The sequence below is a fragment of the Homo sapiens genome, chromosome 2 (genome assembly GCF_000001405.40).
Source record: "Homo sapiens chromosome 2, GRCh38.p14 Primary Assembly".
Classification (NCBI taxonomy): domain Eukaryota; kingdom Metazoa; phylum Chordata; class Mammalia; order Primates; family Hominidae; genus Homo; species Homo sapiens.
The window spans coordinates 197,196,114-197,217,225 of record NC_000002.12 but is presented as its reverse complement, the minus strand read 5'-3'; the positions used below and the strand labels follow the sequence as shown (position 1 = coordinate 197,217,225).

Sequence of the window (21,112 nt, the reverse complement as noted above, 5' to 3'; positions counted from 1 at the left end):
AAAAACACAATGCATCAGTAAATAGGAGACAATTGTGATTATTTAGATAACCTAGTAATGTGAGAGATCATTGGACCATGAAAAAAAAGTGGAAAGTAAATGAAATTATCTGTTTTCATCAGCAAAACCAGACTCAGTTGGCAAACAGTGATGAGAAAATAGTCAAACCTTTTTCATCTTCAGAGTCCTCTTAGAGTGCTGGTGATTTTGTCTGGGAGCTTTTGCAGATCAGCCAGCTCTGCCTTTTCGTTTTTGATGGTCACTGAGTCCTTTTTTTTTCTTTTCCCCCAGAGGAGTGATTTTCTGTGTGTTTTTGTTTTTGGAGTGTGTGTGTGTGTGTGTGTGTGTGTGTGTGTTTAACCAATGTGCTTGCTGACAAAGCCAGACCCTGCCTTCTGGCTGCCTTAGATTTCATGGCATAAAGTAGTGCTTCCTGGACGCTGATGCTTGTGAGGTTGGAAATGTTTTTCTGCTGGAAAAAGTCCAGAAAAGGTAGTTATGTGTGGGCTGATGTTAGTGCAAAATGGAAAGTCTACTGTCTTCCAGTTATAGAAGGGGAAGTGAGAAATGATGACATGCACTTTGAACTCAGTATCTTAGAAACGGGCCACCCTTGCTCTCCTCCCACAATCCAAATCAATTTCTGAAAAAGCACTCTGGTCAGCCTGGATAATGCACCCAGCCCTGCTGATGAGAACAGCGGAGGGAAATGTCTCGATGAACAGTTTCATCTGGATCACAAGGATTTAGGAGGGACAGCTCCTAAAATGGAGGGAGGTAGGACAGACTAAGAAGCCACAGATTTTCCCTGCAATGACATTGATCCTTTGGTGGGTATTAATTAGTTCACAGAAGAAACTCCAAAGAAATTTGTGGATTACTGGATAGCATGAATTATGGAGGAAATATTGCTGCTCTTCCTAAGTGAGAGACCTTTAGGGTGAAATGACTCATTTCCTCTGTTGAATGGAAGCACCATTCTTACATATTACTTCCACATTAGGACACTAATATTTGAAAACTATACCAGACTGCATTTTGAATGACGACTTTGTACCCAGTATCTTCACATGAGTTACTCTTTTGATCCTCACAAGCCTCCAGAAGAGGTAGGTGATGTCTTCTTGGTTTTACTAAGACAGGCATCCAGGGCATAGTTGGAGCCAGCAAGGGGCAGAGCAAGTCCTTGAACCCCGATTGGTTTGACTTTAAATTTTGTGTTCTTTCCTCTACATCACAGCTGCTTGGAAGAGAACTGCCAGATGCTGCTGTTAATCAAGGTTGTGAAGTTGCATACAAATTGAGAAGGAAAGGAGGAGGAAACAGCATCATAAATTTTGGCACAAAAGTGTAAAGCTTTTAAAGACCCTCAATATGTCACTGCTCCTAGCTAAGTTTGTTGCCACATAATTAGGCCGAAAGTCCTAATTGCAGGTTGATTTTTAAACCTACATGACCCTGTGCCAGCAGGATTTATGCTGAGACATTTACTTTAATTAAATGGCTACTTAGTGACAGGGCTTAAATATATATCATTTAAAGAGCCAGATAGTTTTTTTTCAGATACTCGGTCGATCAAGAACACATTTCATCCTTATTAACAATACATAGTATTCAACTAGAAATATTTGATTTGATTTCATTTAATTGAAGCCATTTGAGGTCATCAAAAATTATTTGCGGAGATTTTCTCTAATCTGTGGTTTCAGGGATGGGAAAATTGGAAACACATGGATTTACTACCTCACACTCTCCCACTTCAAATGTTACACTGAGGCATTGGTACCTTCTAACCCCCTGCACTGAGAGAACCTCATGCGGCCAAAACCTTTGGTTTCTGAAGCCTAGCCAATGACATGCAAAATAGCCTTTTCTCTACCAAAAGCAAGAAAAATCTTCAGTTGAAAAATTGGGCTAATGTTGTTCAGTAAACAGTATGAATTAAAACTAGTTCAATTTGGCTTAGATTTTATACATCATCTCAACACAGAAGATTCTGATGCAAAGTGAAAAATGAAGCATATACTTGCTTTAAAAATACAGCTGTTCTGGCCTGGCATGGTGGCTGACTCCTGTAATCCCAGCACTTTGGGAGGCTGAGCCGGGAGGATCATGTGAGGCCAGGAGTTCGAGACCAGCCTGGCCAACATGGCAAAACCCTGTCTCTACTAAAAATACAAATACTAGCCAGGTATGGTGGTGTGCGTATAATCCCAGCTACTCGGGAGGCTGAGGCATGAGAATCACTTGAACCCTGGAGGCAGAGGTTGTAGTGAGTGGAAATTGTGCCACTGCATTCTAGCCTGGGTGACAGAGTGAGACTCTGTCTCAAAAAAAACAAAACAAAAACAAAAAAATCCAGCTGTTCTTCTAGTCCCAGAATTCCAGTTTGGCCTGCCTTGGAGCATCTATTTGGGAACAGGCATATGTGACCTTCCAATTCAAGACTTTGCTTCTGTTGTTGCTGCTGGGATTGGCAGGCTTCTGTGTTCTAATTACTCTTTTAAAATTCCATTTAAAATGCAATTTCATGTAAATGTGTGTTTTCACATTTAGTTTTTATAGCATTTCTTTTCTTTCCCAACTATATCAGTGATAGGTATTAACTGTAAGATGTGGTATATACAGATGAGCAAAAGAAAAAAGGAGAAAATAACTTGTAATCTAATCACTAAGACATAAATACTACTGACTTGGTCTTTTTTCTCTTACTCTTCCTCTTTATGTATGTATGTACATATTTACTTAAAATATAGACTTGCTATCTCATTGTATATGTTACTTAATGCAACAAAATTCTTTTTGCATGTTTGCCAGGTGCCAGACACTAGGCTAGGCCTTGGATATAGTTTTGTTTACTGTTTTTTTTAAATTGTCACTTAATGCTATATGATAAATATTTCTCCAAGTCTTTAAAAATTATTTGAAATGACATTTTTAATAGCTGCATAATATCCCATCATTTTGATGTGCCATATTTTATTATGTCCCTGAGATTGGACAATTAAGAAGCTTTTGGTTTTTTTTCTATAATAACCAACACCCTAATATACACCCTGAACATAAATCTTTGTGCTCATCTCTGATCATTTCCTTATAGTAATTTCCCACAAAAATTATGGGGGTAAAGAATATGAAAATAGCTATAGCTTATCTGAGGTTGCTTTTCAGTTGCTACCTTCATCTTATTCTTTCTTTGTCTCCAAAGTGACTTGATTGCCTTAAAGTGATTCTAAAATTCACATAGCATTAGAGAAACCTAGACTATGCTTTAGAAAACAGTCTATCTTCCCAAAGATACATATACCCTCTTAAAGGTGCTGTAGTATTGCCAAGATACATACACATATAATATCTTAAAGTTGCTGTATGTACCTTTTTAAAAAGAGAAAGAGTTCTAAGCTTGTTTACTTAGAAGGTCTAATAAATCAGATCATTAAAAGTGTGAGAATTGCCTGTTTATGAAAACGTGCAGTTGGTTCAAACTGGCTATATAAATCGGCCAGATTGTATGAGCCAGTCTACAGGAGCTTAGCAGTGTACAGGTCCAATTCCATTATTTGCTCAATAATAGTTTTATGCTTAGGCTCAGCGTATGAGGCTGATAATTGTGGCATGATAAGACTGCACAGTGCTCAAGTGTATAATGAGCAATGCTTAGCTGGAAGAGAGAAAATATTTATCAGTGCTTTGCTAATGAGATGTTTTTTATATCATCTAATGAGTTGGTTTTATTTTAGGTAAGGTTAAATGTGTTTAATATGTTTCATAGAGATCTTGAAATAACATGTGCTGAAATAAATTAGAAAAAAAATCAGAAAAATTCCAAGTGGGCTCTCTGGAGTAATCACCTCGTAGATATTATTTTGAAAACCAGAAAACTGGTTGGAAGATGATATGCCAAAAATAACATTGTCTACATTAAACAGACTTACTTTATAGACCGCTTGTGTAACAAGATGTATAATGCTCTCCTTTGAGAACTTCTCCTTCCTTCAGGCTAACCTTGTTTGGGTGATATACCAGACTGTGTTAGAGGGGTCATAGCTCGCTGGGTGGCTAAGCCCCTATATGTGTGAGGTAGAAGTCTTGTAGAGTCAAAATTACTCTTGAAAATCTCTTTGGAAGGTGCCACCATGGAGGCCTGTATACTATCCCTTGTGGAGGCCAACACAGCCACTTTGGCCTGCAGAGTTGGAGCCGCATTGCTGTTTCTTTGAGCACCAGATAAGAAGTTGGCTTGCATTTAGGGGCCAACTTGTATGAAAAATATGTTTCTTTAAACACTAGAATCCCAGTCAGCTCTGTGAGATGTTCACACTGTGAAAAGCTTTCTGGAATGAGATGCAGAGGAAGCTGTGGGGTCGTGTTTCCTTTTTTCTCTCTCACCGTGGGCATGTGATCACCGAGTTCCTGATTGAAGTGTGTGTTTGTGTGTGTACGTGTCCACCTCCCTTCCTTGTGGGTGTTAACTGAATTCTTTTGAGCAAAAACATGTCTGACATGACACCACTGCAGTTGCTGTGATGCAGAATTTTTACTCATGTAGAAGTTCTTCTGTGAGAGCCTGCAATAACCTTTTTGGTTAATACTCCCTATAAAAGGAGAGTGGAAGAGGCAGGGTGAACAAATGTGTTATTTTGAATGAATGTGAATGAATCATGAGCAGAGATTTATTGAGGGCCTACTATGTGCTAGCAGTTAGGGATATAGTGGTGACCACAGTGACCGAATCCCTGCCCTTCTAAAACTTATGGTCTTGGTAGATTCCTGAGAATTTGCCTTTGTCTAGGCAACAATGGACTGACTAGATAACCATTAAATACATAGGGGTTCAAATATTTAGTGCAGAAGCATTTTGGGTTCTCGAATAGGGACTGTGTGATACAAGTGGTTTCTTTGAAAATTATCCATGATCTAAGCTCACACACTTACTGGCTCATAAAAGCCAGTTTCAGAGGCCAGATGACTTTCGTGTTTGGTGCCAGTGTGCTCCCACTGGATCCCTATCTGCCTGGTTGCAAACTCTTGGCTCTAGTACTGCCTGATCTCTAGCATACTTTGATCCACCAGAAAGTCCCTCCTTGTTCCAGTTCCAAAACTCTAGCTCTGCAATATCTCCTCTCCTTCCCCCAAAGTGGTGCTGTGGGGTGTGTGTGTGTGTGTGTGTGTGAGAGAGAGAGAGACTGAGAGAGAGAGAGAGGCTCAGTGAAGGGAATTCCCGTGCATGAGCTTACTGTTGATTACTAGCCCTTCATCACCGGAGTGTTGGTCACAAACCTGAGGAGGGCAAAGTGATTGGAGTCCCGAGGTGCTTGTGTTCCTTTGGCTCTGTTGGTCTGGATCTGTCGATCACCTTTCTTGGGGCTTCTTTGTGCTGCGTCGTCTCCTGCTTGCTGCCCCCCACTATTCCTCTTCTCTGAGTTATGGTTTATAACCTGCTGCATCTCCTAATGAACACCTGGAACCTCCAAGTTGGGAAAAGAAGGAGCATCTCATGGTGCCTGGGGCAGCAGGATGGTGTGGCCCTGACTTGGCCCAAGATTCTTGTGCCCCTCGAGGTGGTACCCCTGAGAAATGTACTCATGGGATTAGCGTGATTTCACAGATGGTTAATTTTTTTAAGTTAGTTAACTAAAGACATTATTTTTCCATTGAAATGAACATGGATATCTTAAGGCAGCACTAGACTGTAAAATTCATGTGAATGTTAAGTTAAAAACGTATTTTTCAGGCAGACATGTAGGGAAAGACGTTCACTCTTGTCTTCTGTTACAGGTACTTTGGTGGAAGTACCTGGTTGATCCTGGCTCCTTGGCTAAGTTATTGAAATTTTCTGCAGAATGGGGATAGTTGGAGGATTCACTGGGATATGCAGAAAACACTGAGTGTGTGTTACTTGCCATCTCTTCCTGCTCCCCATTTCCCCACAACATCCCTGGGTTGTCTCTCACCCTGGAGGTATCCTGCTCCCTGTGTCACTGCTTCTGTGGCAGGAACTATGCCTTCCCTGCCCACGTGTGCTGGTGATGCTGCTCCTGGGTGTCCTTGGATCTGCCCAAAGGGCAACTCCTGTGATCTCCCAGAATATTGAGGGTGCAGGACCAAGGAGTCCTTAGAGAGCAGCTGCAGCCTAGGTCATGGCATAGGGGTGGGTGGGATATGATTAGAGAAGAGGCAGGGGGTCCTCCTGGCCCGCTGCCTTTTCTCGGCATGCAGGTGCACAGTGGCGTCTACATACTATGAGGGAGTGTGTGATCCCCAGGTAAACCCCACTGATGGAGCAGGACAGGACTAGCTTCTAGACACCCCCTCTCCAATACCACCAAACAGAGCACATCCTGCCCCACATGGATGCCTCTGCCCCATCAAAGGTGGCAGGAGGACATTTGCCTCTCCAGCCTCTCATTCACTGTGCTCAGTTTCTGTTTCTGACCCCCTTTGAAGCTGCCTCTCTCCATAAGGGAGGAATGATATCTGAGCCGAAGGAGGATGACACATGCCATTCCAGTCCACAACCCGTGGCCCCCTAATCTCTCCAAGACAAGATGTTCCAACAGGTGGGGGTGATCCTTCTCTCTTAAGGCCTGCCTTGCATGAGGACAATTTGCTTCCTTCCTAATCTCTGGAAGAAGGTGTTAGAGTCAGATAGGCATTGGCCTTAAGGAACATTTATTTCTGAGTGTACCAAGTGTGTCTTTGATGCTTTCCCAGAGGAACCAGCTCAGTGTAATGGGAACAGAACAAGCTTTGGCGTCAGAGAAATCTTGGTCTGGATGGGACCTCAGCCCCTCACTAGCTTTATAACATCAGTCAGGTTACTTACATTACTGAGCCTTGGTTTTCTCATCTGTAAACGGAAGATGTTAATCGTAACTCACTGTTAGGGGTGAAGAGGAAGCAATATAATGTATGAAAAGTGCTTGCCATACAGTAGTAGCTCAATAAGTGCTTCTCAACACATCTCAAGCCCAGCATTGGATTCAAGACAGTCCTTCTTAGGAGGCCTCAAATCACATTTGTTTTCTTTCTTTGTCTCCATTCGAAACACCCAACTTCCTCTTGCTGCTGTTCTTTTTTTAGGAGTCAAGAAAAAACAACCTAAGTAAACATTCTCCACTAAGGTGTGACTGAAAGATAGTCTCCTCACTCACTCAGAGGTGATTTCAACAGGGGAAACTTTAACTCAAAGGAATTTCTGTAAGACGTCTCTTAGGTAGTAGGAGTGGATTCCTGTGGTCTCTGTGCGGTTCCTGGCTTTGCCCATATTCCCCCAAGTGAGGTCTCCAAGTACCCAGTCCCCAGCAGCCCTCAACTTCTAGCCGCAGTCATATCTTCACTCCCTGTTAGGCTAAACCCTCATCTGATTCTTTGCTCCCCTGACTCACAAGACAATCTTGTGCTGTGTGCTGATACAGCATGCTTATCTGTCCATCTTAGAGAACTTAGAAGCAATGTGCTTTAGCTTTTCATGACAATTTCCATAAACTATCCTAGTTCTTAGAGGAAAATGAAGTAGTTAAATGAAAGACCAATCAACCAATGTTTAATTCTTGATGAAATTAAAAGTTAACTGATGACATAACTGGTGGATCATCCAGATTTCTCCTAAACTGGAACGGCAAATGGGCCAGCTGTTATTGACTGGTAATGATTGCCTGGACTGCTTGAGTGCTGAGGAAGAGTCTAAGGTTGTGCTTATTCAAGATGGAAAAGAGTATCATGCTTGATTAGTGATGTCTGCTAAAGGCACAGGAATGGATGTGGCAGCTCTGACTACATATTTGTCAGGCCTTTCTCCGACTCCCATCCCACCATTTCTCTGTTCATTTGCACTCCCACTTGAGAGCAGTTGGGGAATTGAAAGTGTTTTCAAGCCAGGTTTACTCTGGTAAATGATTTAGCAGGGCTGAAGCAGGATGCCAACTAAAACTTGTTTTTCATGATTATCTATAGATTTTATATTTATCCTATTCTTGGTGTACATTCACATAATTAAGAGTTGCTATGAAGTCAGAGTTTTTTTATCTCAAGGCTCATAAACAGCATCAGGATTTGGTCTATTCGAAGAAACTACTCAGAACGTCTTGTCTTTTCATCTCTGAACAGCCATGAGAATGTGAACTGTAGGCAAGGAAATGAATTGCATTCATGAATCACTTGAGCGGCACAAAGCAAAGCTTAGAGCTACCTCTAATAGTCTTGCCTGTTATATCCCCTTTGCCTTTATTCTAAATGCCTATTTTCCAGATAGCCTAATGGATGAATCACACTATGTTCTGAGAGAGGCAGACAAATAGCCTGGAGAAAATGGGGCACTTACATGGGATTTCAGGTTATTCTTCTCCAAGCTTACCATTAGAACCCATGTGAAAGCATTAAAGAGAAAGCTATTCTTTTTTTTATTTTTTATTTTTTATTTTTTTGAGACAGAGTCTCGCTCTGTCGCCCAGCCTGCAGTGCAGTGGTACAATCTCGGCTCACTGCAAGCTCTGCCTCCCAGGTTCACACCATTCTCCTGCCTCAGCCTCCCGAGTAGCTGGGACTATAGGCGCCCACCACCACGCTCGGCTAATTTTTTGTATTTTTAGTAGAGACGGGGTTTCACCATGTTAGCCAGAATGGTCTCAATCTCCTGACCTCGTGATCTGCCCTCCTCGGCCTCCCAAAGTGCTGGGATTGGGATTACAGGTGTGAGCCACACTGCTTCTGGCCAAGAAAGCTATTCTTGAAAAATAAGATACCTGGTGTGTGGCACAGCTTACCATTGCCCACTTACCTCTCTCACTGGGAACTGAACCACCTGGATATTAGAAGTTGAAGGGCTAATTGCTCTTTCTAGAAGTTTTGCTTATTATCTTCCATTCTTCCCTTAAGGTGGAAGGAGAGGTGAGTGGATCATCATATAAGCCTTCTGAGAACTAAGAAGAAACTACCAGCCCCTTCTCTGGCCTCCACTTTGTTCTTGCACTATTGGGGCGCGTGGGGGTTGTCACCTGGTATCAAGCATTCTCCACTAGGGCACCTATAGGCAGGTTGAGGTCACGCTTTTGTTTTGAGAGTCTTCTGTGGAGTTACTTAGAAGATGTCTAAAATACGTAACAAATCTCAGACCTCTCTTTGAGCATTGACAGTAACATATTTAGAAAGTTCGAGGAAAGTGATTTTTTAAAAGTTCATCAATACTATGTAATACTACGATAAAACCAACAGCCCAATAATAGCAACAAAACTCCCTGTCACCATTTGGTGTCGCCTCTTCTTTCCTGGCTGTACAATTTATAGAAGGGGGAGGAAGACTTTAGAATTTTACTTTTAGGAATCCAGTACATTTTTAAAAAGCTGGTTGTGTTAGAGGCTGGCTTGTAAGAACTCGTATGTGTCTTCCTCATTTCTGTTTTTCTTTGAGTTGCCAAATGTTAAGGTTGGGATTATTCAACCCATATGGGGCATGATTTCCTTTTTTCTATAACATTTCTGGGCAAGCAGATTTTGACTCAGTGCTACCAATCTGGGGTGTGTGCTCCCTTTTCCTGGTGGACTGGGGAAAGGTCTATCATAATCTCATGAAAGAGCACCATGGCAAAGGAAGAAACGAGAAGAGGATCTTTCTCAGTGATTTGAGATCAGTGGTGAGCTGGTGTTAAGAGTAGTGTTTCAAGAGAAAAACAGAAAGGGAAGGGAACATTTTCATTTTCTAATATATGTTTTTCTCTGCTGGCCTTTGAGATGCCAGAATGATAAAAATCAGAGGGGTCATCTGAGAGGTGGCAAAAAATAAAAATCACCTCTAAAAGAGAAGCAGCTTAATGTGCCATCCGCAGGCACAGCTGTTTAATCATGGGTGATTATTACACTGGGATAGACTAAAAGAATTAAAAGAATGTTGTGGCTGTGATTTAAACAATGAGGACTCTGGTAAGAACGTCCTGGCCTCATTGGTGAACTAGGACTGCAACCTGAATGGAGTTATTGAATAAATTGATAGCACAGTTTTCAGACACCTGCCCCCTTCCCTCCATGCCATGATTTTCCAGTTGCTTGCTCTGTGGCCAATTTTGGGGTAGATCCAAACTTGCTTCTTCAGCACCTAGCAACAATCTCAAATGCCACAAGAAGAGTTTTAATTTAATTTAGTGCACGGCCACATTTAGTAAGTTTTTGAGAATGTTCCTAATTTATTAGCTTAAAATCTTATCACGATTTTTAAATCCATCACTTCTCTTCAAAGAATGATGAATTAAAATGTAGGTAAATTTTTCTTACTTTCCTTGAATGAAATACACTGAGAGCAGACAGTCTGATTGACACTGTTATGTATGAACATGAGGGACGTAATTCTAAAGAGTACTGGCCTTGCAATAACTCTTTAGATTTATCTTATGTGACTCCTATGCTTAATGACTCTTTGACAATTGATGATGGAGGAGCCAGTCCTGTACATCCTTTCCCTACTATGTTATTATTGATAACATAATCAACCAAAATGCTTTTTGTTTGTTTGTTTTGAGACGGAGGAGTCTCGCTCTGTCGCTCAGGCTGGAGTGTAGTGGCGCCATGTCGGCTCACTGCAATCTCTGCCTCCCAGGTTCAAGCCATTCTCCTACCTCTGCCTCCCAGGTTCAAGCCATTCTCCTACCTCAGCCTCCCGAGTAGCTGGGATTACAGGCGTGTGCCACCATGCCTGGCCGATTTTTGTATTTTTAGTAGAGATGGGTTTTGCCATATTGGCCAGGCTGGTCTCAAACTCCTGACCTCAGGTGATCCGCCCACCTCTACCTCCCAAAGTGCTGGGATTACAGGCACGAGCCACTACGCCTTGCCTTATTTAATACTTTTGAAATTACTTCCCTAAACATCTTTTCCCTAGCAGAGCGCTAACAGTGTGAACTTCACGGCAGCAGAGACTATGTTTGTTTTCACCCATGCTTGTATGTCCAGCCTAGGCAGAATGGCCAGCACATAAGAAGGGCTCTGTAATATTATTTACTGAAAGAATGAGTGAAAAAACATCATCTCTATGCTGCACATCTTCTGTCGTGCCACCACTTTTGTGTGGCTTGTCATCCCCTCTTAGCTGAATGACTGCCACAGCCTCCCTTGTGTTCTCTCCGCCAATCCATTCTCCTCTCCGCAGCCAGTCTGAGCTACTAAAATGTGCATCTGCATATGTCACCCCCTTCTGTTCAGTCTTACTTGCTTCCTGTTTCTCTGAGGTTAGTGACAAAGTCTCAGCGTGGCCAGCCCCACCTTACAATTTCACTCCTTGCATCCCACACTCCAGCCTCTGAACTAGTCACATTTCCCCACACCTGGTAGGCTTAGGCTCCCTCTGATCTTTGGGTCTCTGTAGATGTTACACCTTCACCTAGGAATCTCTTTTCCCCAGCTTAGCTGTCACCTCCTCTCTGAAGCCTTCCCTGATGACACAAGGCTGGGTTGGGTGTCCCTCCCATATGACCCTGTTGCTTCCACCGTGATGTCACTGTTTACTTTTCTTCCTCCTCTCTAGATTCGAAGCTTCTTGAGCCTGGGACTGTATCTTGATCATTGCAGAATCCTTGCCACCTAATGCATTGCCTGGCCCACCATCGGCACTTGGAGAAATGATTGTTGAGTGGGCAAGAAGAGGGCAATATGGCATAGTTGAACTAGCATGGGATCTGGAGCTGGAAAGATCTTCCCAGTGACTGGCAGTCACCTTGGGCCATCCCCAAACTCCCCAAGCCCCAGTTTCTTTCTCAGGGAAATGGGGTGGAGGACATCACTTCGCAACTCACCAGGTTGTTCTGAAAAATACAGTGAGATGACATAAGGAAAGCAGCACAGGGCCTGCTCCATAATGAGCTCTGGTACATTGTTCTTCCTTTCCTCAATCCCTCCTTCCCTTCCTTACTGGCCAGGTGGGTAAAACCATGGATCAGAATACTAGAATTCCAGTGTTACAGTCAAAGATTAAGTGGTTCTAAATCATCTAGAACCAGAAATAACATTTGACCCAGCAATACTATTACTGGGTATATACCCAAAGGGGATGCTTTTTAAAAATACACACTCCTGGACCTTACTCTGTGGTTCTGGGACAGGGTCCAGGAGTCTGTATGCTTTGTTTCAAGTTTCTAATGTGCAGCCACAATTGGGAGCTTTTGACCTAGTCCAACTTCTGACCCAAAGCAGGAATCCTGGTTATGTAGCCTTTGCTGGAGCACATCAGGGATGGGCAGCTCGCTGCATTTTGAAGCTGTTTCTTGCTGGACAGCTGCTCTAATAGAGACCTCTCCCTTATAGACTGTGCCCCATTCTGCTTCTCTGATAACACCCAGCCTTTAGATCGGGTTCTGCCTTCTAGAGACACATGAATTAACCTACACCATCTTCCACATAGTCATTTTTCAGATACTTGATGTTACTAGTACTATATCCCTTCAAAGGTTTTTCTTTTCCAGCCTAAACATTCCTGTTCTTATAAACTAGAATTTGCTAACTGGAGCCTGCGGGCTACATCCGGTCCACAGATGTGTTTTGTTTGGCCTGTGGTGTTTGAAAAATATTGAATAAGTTGCCAACATTTAAAAATCAGGGCATTTCACTGAAACGTCTGGAGCTCTGGCATCTCTTGAAAACTCAAAAGATCTGGAGCCACAATTTTATCTTTGGACAGGACATAAATTCTCCAGATTGTTGCAGCCTTCACCACTCTATGCTCTTGTCTAGCCCCCTACCTGAATCATTATGTCACATGTTTCCAGACCCTTCGTTATTCTCATTTTCTTTTCCTAGCTGTGATGCAAAGTGTCAGTGGTCCCATCTTTAAAGAAAATTTTTCTTTTTATGTTTACAAAAATGATAGTTAACAATAATAATAAACATAATATTATAGAAAATTTGGAAATTACAAAAAAAGAAAGTGTATCTGCCAATAACCCTGTTTAGCATTTTTATAAATTTTCTTCTAGTCCTTGTTTTTCTGTGCATATTTATATGCTATGAAGCTGAGATCAAACTGTATATAGTTTCATAGACTGCTTTTTTTCCACATTTTCCTCATCTCATTAAACTCCCTCAAAAGGCCAATTTTAATAAGTAAAATATTCTGTTTTATGTATCATAATTTTTTTTATTGTGGCAAAATACACCTAACATGATATTTACCATTTTAACCATTTTAAAAGGTACATTCACAGTGTTGTGCAGCCATTATTACTAATTCCAGAACATTTTCACCACCCCAAATGAAACTCTGTATCCATGAAGCAGTCACTTCCCGTTCCCTCCCGATCCCTGGTAACTGCTAATCAGCTTTCTGTTTCTATGTGTGGCTATTTCATATAAATGGAATCATACAGCCTGTGGCCTTTTGTGTCTGGCTTCTTGCACTTAGCATAATGTTTCCAAGGTTCATCCATGTTGTAGCATCTATCATTATACGCTGTTCCTTTTCATGGCTGAGTAATATTTTACTCTACGGCTGTACCACATTTGGTTTATCCATTCATCAGTTGATGCCGGTTGGTGGACACTTGGGTTGTTTCTACCTTTTGACTGTTGTGAATAGTACTGCTGTGGACATTTAGGTACACGTTTTTGCTTCAACACCTATTTTCAGTTCTTTGGGATATACACATAGCAGTGGAATTTCTGAATTATATGGTAATTCCATGTTTAACTTATTGAGGAACTACCAAGCTAAATAGCTAAATAAAATTCCACAGCAGCTGCACTATTATACATTCCAATCAGCAATGTTCCAATTTCTTCACATTCTTCCCAACACTGTTTTCTGGGTTTCGTTTGTTTGTTTTGTTTTAGCCATCTAGTGTGTGTGAAATGGTATCTCACACACACCAGAAATGGTGAAGTAGTTCTTAGAGATTTATATTCTCTAAAGACTGATGTTAAGCATCTTTTCATGTGCTTTTTGGCCATTTGTATATCTTTTTTGGTTTATATATTATAACTTGCTCAATAATTTCCCTAGCTTTGACATTGGTTCCCTTTTAATTTTTCCTGTCATAAATAGTGTTGTTATGAACATCTTTATACAAAAATTGTCTGTATATCTCATTATTTCTATAGGACAGCCTCCCTGAAGAGGGACTGTGGGGTCAAAGGAGTAGGATTTCGAAGGTATTGAGATGAAGAATCAGATTCAGTGCTGCATGTATGTTGAAGCTGTATGAGTCACCTGGAGAGCCTTTGCAAGCGCTTGTGCTAGGATTTGCATCCCTAACACTACCTCAGGCTTATTGGGGTGGGACCTAGTTTCCCAGGGGATTTTGATATGCAATCCAGCCAAAAAACATCAGCCAAATTTCTTCTGCATCCATTTAGGTCTTAAAAAAAAAAAAGGCCAGGCGTGGTGGCTCACACCTGTAATCCCAGCACTTTAGGAGGCTAAGGCGGGTGGATCACTTGAGCCCAGGAGTTCAAGACCAGCCTGTCCAACATGACGAGACCCCCTCTCTACAAAAATTTTTTAGAAAAATTAGCTGGGTGTGGTGGTGCACACCTGTAGTCCCAGCTATTTGGGAGGCTGATGGGGGAGGCTCACCTGACCCCAGGGAGGTCGAGCTTGCAGTGAACTGTGGTTATGCCACTGCACTCCAGCCTGGGGGACAGAGCAAGACCCTATCTTAAAACAAACAAAAAACAAAAAAGAGGCCTGTAAGATCTGCACGAAATTGTCCACTACTCTGACCAGTTCTGAGCAGCTTGGTCCTGCTACTTCCCCTGCTGTGTGCATCAAGCTTGGTCGTCTAGCTCTTCTGGCAGAGTGAGATTATAGTCACCTAGACCACCCCTTATTGGGTTTTTTTTTTTTCCATCTGAAATCTCATCTTTTCCCTTATTGTTCTTGGAGGAGTCGATCATTTTGGACCTATCTTTTCTGGTAAGAAAACAGAGGTTTCTGCCTGCTCTGTGACTTGCCCTCCGTTATGTAACACCTACTGATCAAGGGTAGACCAGGACTCCTGGCGCATCAGTTAATTTCTTTCCACTCCCTTCAATGGCCTTGTTTCATCATTTTTGATTGGTCACAATTCAAGAAGCAAAAAGTTGCTGCACAGTGCCAAATGTACCAAGTACTCTAAAAGTGAGAGCAAGCCTCTGCGTGCCTGGGCAGGCCACTGCTGTCACAGGCCACCTGCCTTTCACCAAGTCCACTTCTATCCCTGGGTGGAGGAGGGGCAGCTAAAAGTTCTCCTTTGTCAGGACAGTCAACCATGATCTCAAAAGAACTATGATTGTATTGTGCATTTTAAACCCTTGGAATGTTACATGGTGATGAGGTAACAGTGGCTATGAATGTTCTTACAAGTGGGAGCTGAGCATTGGGTACACAAGGACACAAAGATGGGAATAGTAAACACTGTGAATCCCAAAAGGGGGCAGGATGGGAGGAGGGCAAGAGATTAAAAACTACCTATGGGGCACTATGTTCACTACTTGGGCGATGGGATCATTAGAAGCCCAAACCTTAGCATCACACAGTATACCTGTGTAACAAACCTGCACATGTATCCCCTGCATCTGAAATAAAAACACAAAACACAAAAACAAAATATAAAAACAACAGCTCTGAGTTTTGACATAAGGTGTGCAGTGCAGATTCCCAAATCTAGATTTAACATGCGACGACACTAACAGGGTCTCCACATCATTCAGAGCCAACGTCAGGGGGATTGTTGGTGAGGAGAGGGGAGTGTGGATACCAGGAAAGGAACCAACCTCAGTTATGTCAGTTGGGCCAGAGGAGGCCAAAGGATCCTATCTCCCTGATGCCTTGTCTCAGACCTCAGTTGCCTTTGTGGTTGCCTAGTGCCACGGAGGCAACGGGCATTCAAAATTCTGCTAAATAAAAACACACAGCAAATTAGGTTTTATTTAAACTCAGTAACTTACTCTCCTTGTTAAAAACTCAGTAACTCACTCCCTTATTTTCTGTAATATGACTGTCAAGATTATGTCTTCACACGTGCCCTTCACATGAACATTCTGGGAGTGCATCTTGTTTTCCTAATGTTTAAAAAACATGCTGCAAGCTAATTTTAAACTGGGATGGGTAATGAAAAAGAGAGAATCATAGACTTCTCTGTGGCACCACCTCTCAGTTAAAAATTACCCATGCCTTTTTAATCTCTAGTCTTTGAGACTAAAAGCACATTAATCTACTTATTCCTAATTCATTTTCAGAATTTTCCCATAGAGCTACTTATATTCAGTCTCAAGGCATACTATATATCAGGACATACACTAAACTTTCAAATCATATTTAACAATTGATAAAATTTAAAACTTGTTATTAAATATTTTCATTTAAATGGATTTGGAGAAGTTGCAAACATACTATTGCAACATAGAGTGAAAGACCAACACTGTAGTGACTGTCGATGTAAACATTTTAACAAAGTTTTTGATTATCAAAAGAACTGAGGTCTTTTTGGTTGCTAAATTCCAGTCACTTCATTATTGCTTTCTTTCATGTTATTCATATTATTTTCCAGATGGGCAGGAGCAGCTTAAATGACTACTGTTGTTTGAAGGGCACAGCAAGCGTTGTATGTGTTTTGGCAGGGGGTAGCATAGGGCATGAGAAGGACAGGGAAGGAAGAGATTTGGAGGTAATTTCAAGCTCGTGCTGTCTGGAAGTAGTGCATTTTAAATTAGTGTTAGTGTGATGTTCTGCAGCAGCCAAGCTTGGGAATTTTTTATATCTTTAAGCAGAGTCTGGCGAGTGGTGGTGGTGGGAGGAGTATGAGAAGAGGGTGTTTAGAAATGCTGTAACTCAGGACATTCTCCTGAGCATATACATGTCTAAAGTCAGTGCTGTGCCCTGCCTCATTTGTCATTCCAAAATACATTTTTTTCCTTCCTCCATCTAAACCATGTTCAGGCCTTGTTCAAGTCCTGCCTCCTCCAGAGACACCACTCTGGCTTCTTAGCCTTTCATGCTTCCCCTTTTCTGAATCAAGAAGGCTCCTAGAATATTATGGCTAAAGGCACCTCCAGATTACCTCTCCAATCTGTCATTGTGCAGAAGGACAACTTGGCATCCATTTGCATGAGGTCTGTAGAACATGGTTCAGTACTGTCTTACACAGTTTAAGTGTTTTGTGTGGGTTAGGCTTATTTCCCCAACTATATTTGGCAGTCTTTTAGGAAAGGACTATGTCACACATTTCTTTTGTATATTTCATAAAAATAGCATATTGTAGGTACTCAGAAAATGCTTTTGGCTCTGGTAGCACTTCTCTGTGCAATGTGGATAAGCACTGATAGAGGCTTGTTTGTTGTGGTACAAACTAGAAACAACCCAAATGCCCATTCGAAGGGGAATAATTGAATATGTTATGGCATATCCATACAATGGAATAGTATTATATATAGTTATTAAGAGAAATGATTTAATCCTGTAGCTATCGACCTGGGGGATGTCCTCAGTACATCATTATTTTTGCAAATTGTAAGAGAGGGAAATAAGCCAGGCATGGTGGTATGCATCTGTAATCCAGACTACTTGGATTACAGATACTTGGGTGGGAGGATCGCTTGAACCCAAGAATTTGAGACCACCCTGGACAATATAGCAAGACCCCCATCTCAAAAAAAGTGTGTGTGTGGGAAATAGTAAAATCCCATTTTCTGATAATAAATAACGATAATCTCATATATCTGTATCTGTACCTACCAACAAGAACACGGGCTGTTCACATTTGTGGTAGGAAAGGTTATTAAGTTTTTTCTTTATCTGTTTTTGTATTGTTGCAACAGGAAACCTACTAAGATTAAAATCCAGCAAACATAAGACAAAGATAAAATGCACAGGGGTTTTGATGCATTAGGTGTTTCCCATAGTACTTCCTATTTTTCAAACTTCGTGTGATTAAAAAAGTAAGTTTTATCCCTGACTAAATTTCAGTGTGGAAATAAAGAAATAAAGATAGCATGTACTTGGCTTAGGTATACTTGTTTTGTTCTTTCAGCTCGTTACGTAAAGATACATTTTTTTTTCTTTCTCATGACATGAAGATAAGCTTTCTTCTTACCAAAACCTAAACTGTGAAGGCAGCACCCAAGCCAAAAGCCTCGAGGCTCTGGTTTCTGTGGTGGGATGGGGAGAGAAGTAGGTTGCACAGATGTAGGATGCCAGCTGACTTCAGAACTTCCGGTCTCAGAGCTAACCAGGCTCGGCAAGCCACAAGAGAGAAGGAGCTTGCATAGGTGGAAGAGCAAAGAAAGCCAGTGCTGCAGAACTTCCGGTGCTCCTCCGCCGATGTCGGGCTGGCGCTGCTCCCGAGCCCTGTGTCCTGTGGAAGAAGTTGGTGAGAATCGTTTTGAATGTAGGCAGCCACTCCTGAGGAGGCTAGCCCTTGCTACATTAAAGGTGGAGCTAGATTTACATTTTATTTTATTTTATTTTATTTTTTATTTTTCGAGATGGAGTCTTGCTGTCGCCCAGGCTGGAGTGCAGTAGCACGATTTCAGCTCACTGCAACCTCCACCTCCCGGGCTCAAGCGATTCACCTGCTTCAGCCTCCCGAGTAGCTGGGATTACAGGGGCACGCCACCATGCCTGGCTAATTTTTTGTATTTTTAGTAGAGACGGGGTTTCACCATGTTGGCCAGGCTGGTCTCAAACTCCTGGCCTCAGGTGATCCACCTGCCTCGGCCTCCCAAAGTGCTGGGATTACAGACGTGAGCCACCATGCCCGGTCAAATTTACCTTTTAGATTCACATATTACCACCAGAAGAATGCTTCCTCTGACAACTGAGCGGTACTCCATCCCCAGAGCCCTTTGTGCAGACTATTATTGCAGTTTCCTAACTTGTTATGACACTCCAGCCTTTTCCTCCAGGTCATCATACAATCCATTTTTAGAGTGATTGTTCTAAAGCACAAATCTTAGGTCACTCCCCTGCTCAAAAACCACCCACTGCTCCCCCAGTTCCACAGAAGAGAGCTCAAATTTCTTAGCTTGGTATTCAAGACCTTCCATGATAGGATCCCTGTCTACTACTCAGCTTACCTCACTTCTCCCCTCCTCCAGCCAAATGAAACTGTTCCCTGTGTATGTTCAGGCTCCCTAGCTTCTGCTCACAGCCTTCTGAATATGAAGAAGGGAAAGTCCCTTACCATTCCATCCGTCTCTACCTGTTTAAATCCTCCCCAGTCTTCAATATTCATTTCAGAGGCTGCGTCTTTCAGGAGGCCAGGTACAATTTCTCTCCCTTCTCCATGCACTTCTCCTGCGGCCTGTGCCTTACATTCTAGCTGTGCGTATTTGTATACTTCCTGTTACACCTTGGTAACCTCATCAAGGGAGAGACTGACTCTGACATTCCAGTGTCTGAATTTCTTTCTTTCTTTTTCTTTTTCTGTGTTTCTTTCTTTCTTTTTTTTTTTTTTTTTTTTTGAGACAGGATTTCACTCTGTCACCCAGGCTGGAGTGCAATGGTGTGAGCATGGCTCACTGCAGCCTCAATTTCCTGGGCTCAGTTGGTTCTCCCACCTCAGCCTCCCGAGTCGCTGGGACTACAGGTGTGCGCCACCGTGCCCAGCTAATTTTTGCATTTTTAGTGGAGATGTGGTTTCACCATGTGTCTAGGCTGGTCTGGAACTCCTGGATTCAAGTGATCCGCCTGCCTTGGTCTCCCAAAGTGTTGGGATTACAAGCATGAGCTACTGCGCCCGGCCTCCAGTGTCTGAATTTCTTATGCTCAGTAAATGTCTTATGCTTAATACATCTTTGTTGAATTGAATGTGGTTATCTGAAATGTACCAAATTAAGTTTTAGAAAACATATCTTTTATCCCCTGTTGGAGGGGGTAGTGTGTAAAGAAATAAAGGAGCTACGCACTGGGTTGGTGTCTGTGAAAGGAAATATGATATGACTTCTTTTTTTTTGCAGAATTTCCCATTTTCCCATTTTATATTATCGAATGTTTTCCAGTCTCTTAGGCTCCTCTCTCTTCCTGCTGCCTTATCCTTTCCCTTTGACATCTGTCACTGGATGTCCTTACCATGATTTTGGATGGGGAAATGAGAAGATGCTTCCTGAAAGACTACACTGAGGGGATTCTCTAATAGATTTTCATTCCATGTGACTTTTTCTGGCTGGGGAGGGAGTAGGGGACCTTCCAGTCATCTCAGGCAGAAACTAATTCAGGTCCTGATCAACCCACTGCCTTAAATTTTAGAATGGTTGCTATAACAATTTTAGAATGGTTGCTATAACAAGATGCCTTAGGAAAAAAAAAATTGACAATGGCCAGAACAGGAAGGTGACTCCGTTTTACACATGTCCCTAGTCCCTCACCTGTGGAGAGGTGGTGAGAGTTTAACTGCTTGCTGTCTTTCCAAGAATGCACGTGGAATTCAAAGAAAAGAACAGTAGAAGGGAAGGAGAGGGTTTAAAGGAAAATTGTCATGGGCTTTGGAAAGACCTGATTGTGTAAAAATTGCTTGCTGGTGTTTGGAAAGAACCCAGGTGCTAACAGATTTTAGACAAACCCAATCTGGAGTTGCCTAAATCATGAATGATTTAATGTGACTGAGTTAATCCATATATCTTGTATACAGTAGTTCCAGCCTCCTCAAATGTAGCAGGAGATTGCCACCTTTCTGAGAGTACCTTTCATTTCTACATGCTGATTTTGTTGTTGTTTTTAAAGGACACTTGAATTGCTTTATTTAGCTTCCAATTTGTGAGATTCTCAAAAATTAAAATTACTCATGACCACAAGAAGATACTTCTGTAGTTATGGATCATTTTCTGCTATTTTTTATAAGGAATACTTTTTTATTGTTGTCTTTTTTATAAGTGATGCACATACCAGGTAGTAATAAAAAGTCATGTTTTCCAGTGCACCCTAAAACTGAACTGCTGTCTCTATTTGAACAGACAAATAAATTATACTGAATATACCTACAACCCTGAAAATCATCTTCTGGCCATTTTTCTTTTTTCCCCACAAAGATCACTAAAGTGGTTTATATTGATTAACATTATTAAATCCACCTCTCATGTTTGCAACTACATGAATTCAATATGCAGTAAGATACAGTTATACAAAGAATGTAACCCAAGCCAAGATGAGAAATAAAACCTC

At 41.8% G+C, this 21,112-nt stretch overlaps 1 protein-coding gene and 1 long non-coding RNA gene across 21 annotated transcripts in view, besides 4 other annotated features; one reads left to right on the top strand and one right to left on the bottom strand.

Annotated features, from left to right (window-relative positions):
- The window catches only part of ANKRD44 (ankyrin repeat domain 44), a 343,767-nt gene that overhangs the window by 93,555 nt on the left and 229,100 nt on the right, over window positions 1–21,112 (top strand). For 2 of the 20 annotated variants that reach the window (XM_047446283.1, XM_024453216.2), the window contains exon 1: window positions 669–18,323. The exons of 17 other annotated variants lie outside the window; for them this stretch is intronic. The gene's annotated coding sequence lies outside the window, so the exon portion shown is untranslated. Of the gene's footprint in view, window positions 1–668; window positions 18,324–21,112 lie in introns of those variants that run through there. One more of the 20 variants, XM_047446282.1, reaches the window with a different exon arrangement.
- Window positions 1,174–1,223: a silencer, noted in NCBI's record as "silent region_12208". NCBI's record gives its function as "represses an Ori minimal core promoter by ATAC-STARR-seq in GM12878 lymphoblastoid cells {active_cell/tissue: GM12878}" and the evidence as "EXISTENCE:reporter gene assay evidence [ECO:0000049][PMID:35858748]".
- Window positions 4,195–4,434: an enhancer, noted in NCBI's record as "active region_16920". NCBI's record gives its function as "activates an Ori minimal core promoter by ATAC-STARR-seq in GM12878 lymphoblastoid cells {active_cell/tissue: GM12878}" and the evidence as "EXISTENCE:reporter gene assay evidence [ECO:0000049][PMID:35858748]".
- Window positions 11,298–11,487: an enhancer, noted in NCBI's record as "active region_16919". NCBI's record gives its function as "activates an Ori minimal core promoter by ATAC-STARR-seq in GM12878 lymphoblastoid cells {active_cell/tissue: GM12878}" and the evidence as "EXISTENCE:reporter gene assay evidence [ECO:0000049][PMID:35858748]".
- Window positions 17,953–19,235, bottom strand: ANKRD44-AS1 (ANKRD44 antisense RNA 1). The gene is made up of 2 exons (NR_135584.1): window positions 19,137–19,235; window positions 17,953–18,308 (listed from the first exon to the last, which is right to left on the bottom strand). It is a non-coding gene; the product is annotated as an ANKRD44 antisense RNA 1 (long non-coding RNA).
- Window positions 18,120–18,189: an enhancer, noted in NCBI's record as "active region_16918". NCBI's record gives its function as "activates an Ori minimal core promoter by ATAC-STARR-seq in GM12878 lymphoblastoid cells {active_cell/tissue: GM12878}" and the evidence as "EXISTENCE:reporter gene assay evidence [ECO:0000049][PMID:35858748]".